The sequence below is a fragment of the Homo sapiens genome, chromosome 2 (assembly GCF_000001405.40).
Source record: "Homo sapiens chromosome 2, GRCh38.p14 Primary Assembly".
NCBI classification, from domain to species: domain Eukaryota; kingdom Metazoa; phylum Chordata; class Mammalia; order Primates; family Hominidae; genus Homo; species Homo sapiens.
In genome coordinates this window covers 66040592-66053553 of record NC_000002.12, presented here as the reverse complement: position 1 = coordinate 66053553, position 12962 = coordinate 66040592, and the positions used below count along the sequence as shown (strand labels likewise).

Here is a 12962-nt window from a genome sequence, read left to right as displayed (position 1 = left end):
CATTTTCTTTTCTCTAGCTTGCTTTATTGTAAGAACACAGTATATAATATATGAAACATACAAAGTAGGTGTTAATTGACTGTTTATGCTATTGGTAAGGCTTCTGGTCAATGGTAGTGCTATAGTTGGATGTTTGTCCCCCGAACCTCATGTTGAAATTTGATCCCAATGTTGGAGGTGGGGACCTAGTGGAAGGTATTTGGGTCATGGAGATGCATCCTTCATGAACAGATTAATGCCCTCCCTAGAAAGAGGGAGAGTGAGTTCTCACTCTATTAGTCTCATGAGAACTGGCTGTTTAAGAAAACCTGACACCTCCCCTCTCCTTGCTTCCCCTCTCTCCATGCTGGCTCCCCTCTGCCTTCTGCCATGGATGGAAGAAGCTGGAAGCTCTCATCAGAAGCTGGCACCATGCTTCTTGTAAAGCCTTCAGAACCATGAGCCAAATAAACCTCTTTTCTTTATAAGTTACCTAGTCTCAAGTATTCTTTTACAGCAACACAAAACAGACTAAGATAAGTAGGCTATTTGTAGTTAAGTTTTGGGGAAGTCAAAAGTTGCATGTGGATTTTTGACTGTGCTCCTAACCTCTGCATTGTTTAAAGGTCAACTGTAATTGCAGAATTGAAATCTCTGAGGAGATGGCTGATAAAACGTACAAGAGGAGAAGTTAGCCTTAGATGAGGTCAGGCACTTAAGATGGGAGCTTGTCAGTGTTTATGTGAACTGTCCAAAGTGGCTACAGGCAAACCTAGAGGTGGGCTGGGGGCATCTGGGGCAGTACATCCACAGCATCTCCTTATATGAGTCTGCTGCGGCTGAAACCCCTGCATCTCTGGCCCAGCCCTGCTACTCTCTATGTACCAGTTCCACTTTGAGGTCCATCAGCCCTGGGTCATAACCAGGATAGAGGAGTTGACTGTGGGCCTCAGTGATGCCAATCTGACCAAACCAAGTGCTCTCCCCTTCTTTGGGGAATCTCCCCAATACTCCTCCTCCTCAAGCTGCTTTTATTCTTCCCATGGCCTAACTTGCAAACAAGTTAATTCCATGTCCTCCCCTCCCAGAACTATCCCTCCTTCCAAGGGTGTGTGTGTGTGCAGAATGAGATCCTAAAACCAGTTTGTTTCCTCCTAATATATGAATATATGCCATATATATATATGCCCAAGCCTAATGACTGGTAGGGCACCTGTATCACAGGCTTGGACTGACCATGGAATCCTTGGCCAAGAAACATTTAGTGTTTGCCATTTCTATTCTGTAAGAACTAACACCTGACCCACCCAAAGAAACCAGTTGTGATTGTTGAGATCAGCAAATCTAGTTTTGAACATTATCTCATGAGAACTCCAGCTTATGATGTATTTTTCTCAGCCATTCTCTGGAGGATAGAGGTCAGATTGTCAAAGATGGTGTCACAGGGACACAGAGACAGGGCTCAGGGGTGCTTGCGACAGCTGAAACCTCGTCTCCAGCTGACTCACGAAGCATCTCTTTTATAACAAGGGCTCTTTAGTGAAAAACAATACAACCTTTTTCATGGACTGTCAGGTGGGTGGAGGGTTACCTTTGCTTCATGAAGGAGTGAAAATGGTTCTGATTTTAAGCACCAGGAGCCTAGCAAGAAAGAGGAGAGGAGGCTTGTGTTTTTGGACAGGGATCCCATTCCTTAATGGCAGTGGAGAGTGGGTTGGGAATCTGGCAGAGTTGTGCATCTTATCAAGTTTATGTCTTTTGTCTATTAGGATGCCACATCAGATTCGTTTGCAAAATGCATTCCACTTCAATATAAATGGCAGTGGAGAGTGGGTTGGGAATCTGGCAGAGTTGTGCATCTTATCAAGTTTATGTCTTTTGTCTATTAGGATGCCACATCAGATTCGTTTGCAAAATGCATTCCACTTCAATATAAGCTTGAATATCTCTTGACTCTATAATCTCTAAGGTTAATTTTTTAAAAAAATCATTTATTATTTGTATTAAAAGTAAATTTTGGTTACTTTTCAATAATCATTATTTGTATTAATTTTATAAGTACCTTTTCCACAATTATCTTTCTTACACCCAGTAAGTTTAACTAGTTTTATTCAAAATAATCATAGTGCTAACAGATGCCAGGCATCAATTTCCTTGGATTTTGAAAAAAACCTAAAGGTGTTTGAGGATTGATCGCTGTCTGACTGGAGTTATTTAAGTCAGTGCCTTGCAAGTGTTTGCAAGCAAGTTCTCCTCTATCTATCTGCAACAATGCCCTTCTCTGCTCCATGTGCCCTTTCTCTGGGTCCTTGAGGCCTCTTCTAAATCTTAGGGTTCTGGTAAACACGATTTGCAGAGCCCTAATTTAGTCATTTTATCACAGAGAGATTCTTTGCTATCAGCTGGTAGATCCCAGCCACCCAGAAAGACACTTTTTGCATGGCTTGCTTCTGGACACTTAATAGAAAATGTAAATGGATCCCCAGAGCCCTAATTTTTGCTTCTATAAACTGGGGATGTTTCCTACATAGCAGGGATATTACAAGAATCAAATGAGATACTGCAATATAAAATTAGAGCTTGGTCCCTAATACAGAATACATGATGTTGTTGGGTTGTGCTCCTTGTTGTATCCTCAAATCAAAGATTCCAGGGGTCTAAAGCCACATGATTGATTTAACAAAAAGTAAATGCTGTATGTTATTAACAAATATTAGTATATTTATTGGCAATGACACATAACTTTAGTAGTGCAATTTAAGTTTGAGTCCAAGATTTTTTCACATTAGGAATGAAATAAATTTTGGGACCCACTCTTGGCCACGTGCAGCCATGCTTAGTATCACAATGAAATGGGGCTTTCCTAACCCGTGCTAGTGCCTTTGACCTCTGCATCCTCAGGCTTAGCAGGAATTGGAGGCAAACCAAGTGAAACCAGGATTTCGTCTGCATTTGTGACTTGGGTAAACTCATAGTTTTGATATCTCACTGGACGTGAAACAACATCTCTGGAGTGTAGTTAGAAAGCTCTTCACTGAGAGACAGTCGCCACCTGGCTGAGATTCCTGTTCAACCCACAAACTGGTTAAATGACTTTTCCAAGCTTTGAGAAGTCTATGATGTCCATAAGACATGTGATGATGTCTCCTTTACATTGCCTGATATGTACACAATAATGCATTTCTCTGTGGTCTGTAATTCATGATCATTGTGAAGATACTGACACACAGTGACTCTCAAAGTTTGTTGTGCATTAGAATCATCTGGGGAGAACAATTGCACCAGAATCTCTGGGTCTGAGACTTAGGCACCAAAGTTTTTAAAGCTTTCCAGATGAATTCAATGTGGAAACAAGTGTTTTATGAAAGTATTAGTGAGGAAATTTGACCTCTATGTGGTACCCCAGTACAGACAACTGAGGTGACAAATGGATAAACAAGTTGTACAGACCACACATTTCACACATCTTCAGGCAACAACTCAGATGTCACAAATTAATCTTTGCTTACTAGCTATACAATTTGTTAATATGATTGCTACACACCAATTTCAGAAAAGTGAACATGCAAAGAAACATATAGCTTAGAATTTGAGAAATGCAGTATTAATGTTGGTACACAGAGGGTAAATGTCCCTGACACCTTTTCAGCCATAATATTCTTATTTTAACTTTAAATTTGGATTCTGACTTTAAAAAGTTTGGCAGGCATAGTGACTCACCCCTGTAATTCCAGCACTTTGGGAGGCCAAGGCGGGAGGATTGCTTGAGCCCAGGAGTTCCAGAATAGCCCAGGCAACAAGGTGAAACCCTGGCTCTACAAAAAAATTAAAACATTAGCTGGCTGTGGTGGCGCTGTAGTTTCAGCTACTTGGGAGGCTGAGATGGGAGGATTGCTTCAGCCCAGGAGGTTGCGGCTGCAGTGAGCTGTGATTGTGCCACTGTACTTCAGCCTCGGTGACAGAACGAGACCCTGTCTCAAAAACAAAACAAAACAAGCTATCGCTCAGTGAAGTCCAAGAACTGACAGCCTTGCATTGCCTGACAGCTTGTTAGAAATACAGAATCCTTTCACTAGGTGCGGTGGCGCATGCCTGTGGTCCCAGCTACTCAGGAGGCTGAGGCAGAAGGATCACTTAAACCCAGGAATTCAAGGCTGTAGTTAGCTATGATCATGCCACTGCACTTCAGCCTGGGTGACAGTGGCACCCTGTCTCAAAAAAAAAAAGATTGCTGCCCCACACCAGACCTGCTGACTCAGAATCTGTATTTTTAACAACATTCCCAGGTGACTCAAATGTACATTTAAGTTTGAAAGGCACTGATTCAAGGCCCTACAGGGAGAAACAAAACCAAGTGTTAAAATTTGACAACTCAAGAGGTTTAGATATTTTACAAACTCACTAATCAGACCCTTTAAAAGACAGTGTTTGGATTTCGCTGCTTAAAAAGAAAAATCATTTTGTTGTGGTTTCGTCTTCTACCTCTTACCAGCTGTGTTTACAAGACACATCTTTCTTGGAACGCTTGGAGAATGATCGCATTGAGCAGCACAGGGGAGGCTGATGTGCCAGTGTCTTACATTATATGTCTCTCCTTCTGTAATTTTGGTTACTAAGAACATTTACATGATAATGGGATCTTTGTTGCTTAGAAGTCAGTCTGCTCCTTCAGTTGATTACCCACCTGAAGTCACTGTGCTTGGCTTGTGACATCATGATTGCCTCCCTGGCAAATGACTATGATTTCATAAACTGAGACTTAAGATTGCAGGTGAAGGGTTAGCAGCAAGAGCTGATGTGCTCTTACACAGCACAGCGCCTGTGTTCATATAAATGACCTAAGTAAACAGGCAAACATAAATACTAAGCATTACACACACATGCACACAGGAAAAGGGGAGGCCAAGAAAGAGTTTGAGATCATCGTGATTCAACAGGGTGGTTTTCAAAGTTGCAACTCGTCTTTAATGCTTCTAGGCTTATAAAACTTCTAAAACAATGAGACGACATATCATTCCCTCTTTGCACATGATTATTCCAACCCCTGCTTTTTGCTTTCTCTGGGTTTGGAGGATGACAACATTTAGCCGAAAGCACACAGCCACTGGGTCTTCAGAAAGAAGGAGGCTAACCTGCCAGAAGAATTGTTTTATTTTTTCAATATCCTGGAACAAATGGAGCATACCCACCTCTCCAATGACCAAAACACACATGCATGACTGTGCATCTGTGCCTTCATATAGTACAACTCCCTAAATATTGACATGTTTTGCTCATTTCAACAGATATTCCTCAGACACTTACTGTGTGAAAGGCACTCTGCAGGGCTCTTCAGGGAGCACCCAGATGAGTCACAAAAATACCCACTGATATCTCACAGTACATTACATTTACATGATGACTGCCACATTCAATAAAATCCTTGAGCTTCAAAAGAACACTGTGAGGGAGAAAGGGAATAATAATAGCAGTAGGTAAACAATATGGGAGGCATGCCTTCCATGTGTTGCTGCATTCGACCATTATGACTAGTTCTATAGGTTCTGGTGTTCATCTCCTAATTTTGCTGATTCTGTTTTGAGGACAAAATGACACGCCCAAGGACTCACAAAGAGAAACTGCCAGAGCTGGGAACCAGACCCAATTCACAAGCTCTGCCCATGAGCCCCAGAATTTATAATCCAGAGAGTGACTATAAGATCTAGAAACATATACAACTTGATCATGTATCTTAATGTAATATTAATATGTCATTTATTATTTATTTACCTACCACCTTGTAGTGGGTGTGTGTGTGTGTGTGTGTGTGTGTGTGTGTGTGTGTGTGTGTGTTGGCATACAGGAGGAGGGTATCACAGAGAGTAAGGTAAGTGCCAAGAGAAAAGAAAAATCGTAAGATTTCCCACACTTTGGACCACTTTATGGAGAAATGGCATTGGAGCTGACCCTTTATAATAGCTGAGATTTTAATGAGCAAAGGTAGAGCAAAATAATCCAGGTGAGAAGAGAACAGAGACAGGAAACAGGGAGACTACTGAGCTCACATAGTGGGTTGAATGTACATCTGACTTCCCTCCTTTCAGAAACCCTAAACCATAGTAAAGGAATATGTTTTGCAAAGGATGTAAAGGAAGAGGAGACAATGACAACTAAACTCTGAAAGCTAGAAAGCCAGTCAGCAATCGAACAGACCTAAAACAGGCAGAGGGGAAAGCTGAGACCCAACCTTATTTATACTGCAAAATCGTCAAAATATTCAGCAAAGTGCAGCTCCAGGTCTATCTGGAACTGAGGACAAAGAGAAGATTAATGTAAGGAAGATTGGGGAAAAGCTGTTTGATGAAATTTTTTTTGTTTTATTTTTTGAGTTAGATTATAATCTCTAATTTCCTTCCAATACTCCAAGGTGCTGTAAGGATCCCCTTCCGCAACTGGTGCGACACACAGACAATAGTTTTCTGGGGAAGGTGTAACAGAGGGTCTCTGGATTGTGAGCTGCCATGGCAGCTGAGGACATGGGTGCTGGGCCAAAAGAAACACATCAGTGCTGCTGCTGAGACCCAGCCTTCCTCCCTACTGGATCCCAGAAGCTGGTAGCCAAACTCTTGTCCTCCATGCAGGAGATTAGAAAATCCTCTGTGGGGAATTGGATCAGCCCAAGAGGAAAGATCTACAAGATGCTGACTTCAGGCCTTTCCCCAAAGAACAGGCCAAATTACTCTACAGTCAAACTCAAAGTGCACAAGCCACACCCACATGCTCAGAATTGTTATCATCTGTTTAGCTCCCCAATCTTAGGCATGGGAAGATAGACATGAATTACCAAATTTCTAAAGAAAGCTTGTAATATGAAAGGTGAGACACACACACACACAGGCACATACACACACACACACACAGGCACACACACTAGCATGTTGAAGAACCTTCAAAAAAAATCAATAATATCTTCAGACAGATAAGACAGTATATTGTATCTATGAAGCAAAACTAGAAAGTTATAAAAAAAGAACATTTATAAAATTTAACAAAGGTTCTTGGAAATTAAAAATATATGAACAGAAATTTTTAAAATTCAAAGTACAGGCTGGAATATAAAGTTGAAGAACTCTTTCAGAAAACAGAGCAAGAGTTGGAAAACAGACAAAAGGCCAATTCTGGGAATTGAACATGTTAACAATGAGTTTCAGAAAGAGAGGAAGAATAAAATAGATGAGAGGAAATCATCAACAAAATAATCACAATATAAAATTCGTAACTCCAGGATATGAGTTGTGAGACTAAAAGGGTCACTAAGTCCCAGGCACATAGAGGGAAAGCAGGTCCACATCAAGGCACATCACTAGAAAATTTCAGAACACCAGGGATAGAAAGTGGATCCCATAAGCTCCCAACAAGAAAGTTCAGGAGGACGATGAAGGAGGATTCTAGGATAACAGCTGAATACTAGATACAATGGCAAGCAGCTCAGATAGGAGCACTTTGACACAAGAAAAAAAATTCAGGGCTTTCATCACCAACATCTCCTATACCACTGTACTGTCTTTTCAACCCAAGAATAGAGTGCCCAGGTGCACTTGGCCCAGATTCTGATCTGTACTTGGCTTGTCTTTACCATGTGCAGGTCAAGTTTCTGCCATCCACACCCTGCTGCCGGATTGGATGATGATGCCCATTTCACCCACAGAAGACTTGCTCCTGAGAGCTGGAGCTAAGATAGAGCATAAAGCGCATCCCCTCCTGTGCTAGTCTGCTCAGGCTGCCAGAACAAAATGCCACCAACTGGGAGGTGTAAATAACAGAAAGTGATTTTCTCACAGTTCTGGAGGCAGGAAGTCCGACATCAAGGTGTAGTCATCAGGATTGGTTTCTTCTGAGGCCTCTCTCCTTGTTTTGCAGATGGCTGTCTTCTTGCTCTTTCCTCATGTGGTCTTTCCTCTGTGCACTCACATCCCTAGTGCCTCTCTTGTGTCCAAATTTTCTTTCCTTAAAAGGACACCACTCAGATTGGATTGGGTGAGCTCCATAAATGTACTACATACTTGACATGTGTGATCTCACTATCTCTGCTTTGACAGTGAGCTAATGGAGCAAGCATTGTTATACCTCATTTTACAGATGGAGAAACTGAGGAAACTGTCCTCAGTTTCTTACCTAGGTTCACAAGGCATTTCATGGTGGATTCAGGAGCTACACCCCTTTTGTCTGACTCTGAAGCCCATTCTTTTTCTATGATGCCTTCTCACATGGAGTGATGAGGAAATGCAGAGATGATCTTTTACACCACATAGCAAACCCATCTGCAGCATCTCTGAGCCACGGCCACCACCCACTGCTTGCAACCCATCAGTGATAGCAGCTTTCTCTGCTGTGCTGGCCAGCAGTGATTGACCCTCCTGTAAATTCATTTACTGGTCTTTGCTCTGTGCTCAAGAACAAGTCAGAGCAGGTGCATCCATCTTCCTTGTGGTAGCCTTTAGATATTTGAAGGCAGTCATTTCCATTTTGCTTGAGCTTCTCTCCTGCACGTTCAATGACCCTATTTGCTCACAGAGAACATCCTCAGGCTGTCTTCTTACTTGTCAATAACCTTCTAAATATGTCACAGGCAGAATGGACCACAGTACTGCAGGTGTGGGCTGGCCACTGACTGAACACCATGAATTGTTCATTCACTCCTCAGGTACGTCTTATGTCCCTCACCAGATTCTGGAAGATTCTGGGAGATTCTGGATTCTAAATGACTCATCACTCTTTTTATTTCACACTGAATTGTGAATAGAAGATGCTCAGTGTTCACTGGTATTTCTTGATCATCTGACTCATTTGTTCAGGGATGTTCTTTATGTTTTGGAGAGAGTTTCACTCTGTTGTCCAGGCTAAAGTGTAGTGGTCCCATTATAGCTCACTGTAGCCACCAACTCCTGGGCTCAAACGATCCTCTCACCTCAGCCTCCAAGTAGCTGGGATTAGAGAGGCACATGGCACCACACCTGGCTGATTTTTTTTCTAATTTTTGTAGATAGAGAGTCTTGCTATGTTGCCCAGGTTGGTCTCGAACTCCTGGATTCAAGCAAAAGCACCGTTTCAGCCTCCCAAAGTGCTGGGATTACAGATGTGATCCACTGTGCCCAGCCCAGGAATATTCTGTTCTCATTGTTCCTTGGAGCCCTTCATATGCTTCATATGTTCATTTTCCAAAGAACAGGCTTGAGGAGTTAGGATCGGCATGGTCGGGCTGCTCCCTATAAGCCGTGTGCATCTAAGAACCTCTTGAGGGTAGTGACAAATGTAACAAGGTCTGTGAAAATGAAGGTCTATGATAAATCATAAATGCAAAGGTCTATGAAATACTTGTCAATAATGCACATAAAACTATTTTATGTCAGTATTTATTGTACTTAAATGATAATCTATCAGGAATACACTCCGAAACACCAGTCAGAGTCAAATTCCTTGTGTATTAGTTATCTATTGCTGCATAACAAATTATTCCAAAATTTAATGGCTTACAAAAATAATAATTGTTTTTCTGGACATTGCTCGCAGTTTCTGAGGGTCAGGAATTCAGGTGTGGCCTGGCTGAGCAAGTCTGCTCAAGATCCCTTTGGAGGTTGCATCAGACATCAGCCTAGGCTTAACTGGGCCTAGCCTACCTTAACTGGGGCTGGTGGATTTGATCCCAAGGTAACTCACCTACATGGCTGGCAAGTGGTGATGTCTAATGCCAGAAGGCCTCAGTTCCTCTCCCATGGGCTTCTCCACAGAACTGCAAGGATATCTTCACAACTTGGTGACTGGCATCCTCCAGAGCACGCAATCTAAGAGACCCCAAGGCGTAAACTCCAATACATTTTCTTTTTATTGTTTGGACTGGGCCTTGAAAGTCACATACTGTTATACCTGCCATATTCTATTGGTCACACCAACCAGCCCTGATTTAAAGTACAGGGTTTACAAAGGGGTCACAAGAATCCATGGAGATCATCTTAAAGGCTTTACTGGGTATTTTATAGATAGCCCTTGGCTGCAATTCCAGTTGTGAGGCTGTGCACCATCTTCACACAGACAGTTGATTGCCCAAGTATAGGGATTCATTAGAAAAAGACAAGCCGCTTACATTCATGAGGTATGACCATAATGAGAGCCATCCAGAAGTCTACAGTTCATTCATTAATTTGACTAAATACTTATGGAGCCTTTACTGTATGTGAAGCACTTTTCTAGGTGCTAGAAACATATCAGTGAGCAAAACACAATAATAAGCAAGTATATTGCTATGGTCTGAATGTATCCCCACAATTCGTATGTTGAAACTTAATCACAAATGTGAAAATATTCAGATGTGGGGCCTTTAGGAGGTGATTAAGTAATGAGGGCAGGGCCCTCATAAATGTACTTAATGACCTTATAAAGAGGTTGAAGAGAGCACTCTTCCCTTTTTGTCCTTCTCCTGTTCATCATGTGAGGACAGAGCAATAAGCCACCATCTTGAAAGTAGGAGGGATGCCCTTTCCAAACACCAATTCTGCTGGCACCTTGATCTTGGACTTCCCAACCTCTGGCACTGTGTGAAATAAATTTCTGTTGTTTATAAATCACCCACTCTCAGGTATTTTATTATAGCAGTGCAAATGGACTGAGAAATATCCATTCCTCAGCTGTCCTCTCTCTAGATTTGGTACAGAGGAGATTGACATTTTCTGATTTCTGAATTTCTTGAAAGCCACTCTGCTCATTTCAAAACCTGGTCTCCATACATGTGAAACTAAAACAGAAGTAACAACAACAATTATTATTATTAAATAGTTAGCACTTGTTGGACATTTGCTGTGTGCCAGGTATGTGCTAAGCAGTTTACATTTATTGTATCATCTGATACTTTTAACAGCTCTAAGAAGTAAGTACTATTATTATCAGCATTTTTTTCTTACAAATGATGAACAACCTGAGGCTCCAAGAGGTTACTAACTTGTCTAAAGTTATTACTTAGTTAGTAAGTGCAAGATCGAGAATTCACATCTAAAACTGTCTTACATCAAAATCTGCGTTCTTAAAGTTGATGAATCATCCCCTAGCAGACACTGAAACTCAAATGCCTCTAGAGGCAAGGTAAGTGATGTAAGGGGAGAGAGCTAATGAGACAATAGGGAGTAGTGAAGACATTGGTGAGCTATCAACTTATGTCTGTCTCAAGGCATAAAAGTTCACGTTTCCAAAACACTGTGTTAGCCAAATAAAATACATCCTAGGGCCAGATTCAGCTAGCAAGGCTCAGGTTTAAAGTTTAGGTGTCTTGTTTTATGTTACATTAATTTCTCAACCACAAGAATCGATAACAATCTTGCGCAGCTTGGTTTTCATCCAAAATTCAGATTTAAAATATTGGTTTCTCATGATGAGTAAGACAGAGAAGATAGCAAATGACTAAGGCTTCGTTCCTCATTTATTCACTCAAGAAATACTGATTAAGAGCCTTCTGTAGCCTAAGCTCTGAGGTTAAAGCAGTGAACATAACAGACATGGTTCCTGCCTTCTTGGAGCTTACTCAGGTCTAGTTAGTGAGTGTGGCATGGACACTTTTCAAGAGCGATACTCATTGTTTCTCAGACTTATTTCAATATTTTGCAAGACCCAAGTGTTCCAAAGGAAAAGTGGGAAGCACTTTGCCCTAAACCAGAAGATGCAAGATGGCAGCACATATGCTGCAGACATGCCTTGTTCAGCCAGCACAGTGATTGACAGAGCATTTGGAAATGTCTTTAGGAAGAGCCTGTACTCTGCTGTTGGTCTAGTGTCACCAGGCCTGCTTCAAACATTAATATTGCCTTATGGCACCTGAATGTATTTGCATGTACAGCCCCTTTTCACAACACAGAAACTCTGATGCTCTGAAATGTTCACAGTACTCAGGAAAAACTAAGAAAGAACAAAAATTGGTAATGTAAACCTTTCGGGTAGAAGTGAAGCCTAGGCAATCACTGGGAAGCAAGAAAGTGCAAGTCAAGATAGGGAAACAGCAGTGACTGCAAGCATCTCTGTGGAGTAGGAGGAAGCTGAAATGTTGTCATGGGAGAATGACTTGGGAGACAAACCCACAGGGAATAAAATGAAATCTCTGATCCACATTGCCCTGGGGTGCAGTCAAAATGGGACTCCTCAAGAATAGGATTGCCAGATAAAATACAGAATTTCCAGTGAAATTTGAATTTCAGATAACCAAGGAATACTTTTTTAGCATAAGTATGTTCCAAGTATTGCATAGGATATACTTACACTAAGAAATCATTCCTTCTTAATCTAAAGTTCAAATTTAACTAGTGCTAAGGATTTTTATTTGCTAAATCTGGCAACCCTACTCAAGGGACAACTAACCAGTGATTGGTGGCAACCTGTGGGTTTTATTTTTTTTCTTTTCATTTATTTATTTTTGTTTGAGATGGAGTCCCACTCTGTCACCCAGGCTGGAGTGCAACAGCATGATCTCGGCTCACTGCAACCTCCGCCTCCCAGGTTCAAATGATTCTCCTGCCTCAGCCTCTTGAGTAGCAGGGATTACAGGCACCCACCACCACACCTGGCTAATCTTTGTATTTTTAGTAGCGATGGGGTTTCGTCATGTAGGCCAGGCTAGTCTCGAACTCCTGACCTCAGGTGATCCACCCACCTGAGCCTCCCAAAGTGCTGAGATTACAGGCGTGAGCCACCGTGCCTGACCGAGTTTTATTTTTTCTAATGTAGAGGAAATAAACTAGAGGTCACCTCCCACTTTAGGGTCTCCATCAGTGGCCTGATTCTGGTAGTAAAGACCTCAGGCTACTGCAACCATCAGAAATGCAGGGAGGCTGAAGTCAAACCATTTGAGAGTAGAATCAGTGGCTTTAGGGCTGGAAGTGAGCCTTACAAGCCATCTAATCCCACACTCTGAAGGAATCTTACAGAAATGGCCAAAGTGGTGGCTTAGTTGTAACAAGATGGAAAAA

General features: G+C 41.8%; 1 long non-coding RNA gene across 2 annotated transcripts in view, besides 1 other annotated feature; it reads right to left on the bottom strand.

The window, feature by feature from the left end:
• Positions 1–12962, bottom strand: part of LINC02934 (long intergenic non-protein coding RNA 2934) — a 298411-nt gene that overhangs the window by 34932 nt on the left and 250517 nt on the right. The window lies entirely within an intron of this gene.
• Positions 8808–10007: an enhancer, noted in NCBI's record as "MED14-independent group 3 enhancer chr2:66270681-66271880 (GRCh37/hg19 assembly coordinates)". NCBI's record gives its function as "activates an origin of replication core promoter dependent on BRD2, BRD4, P300/CBP and CDK7 cofactors, and independent of MED14, by STARR-seq in HCT116 cells {active_cell/tissue: HCT116}" and the evidence as "EXISTENCE:reporter gene assay evidence [ECO:0000049][PMID:35650434]".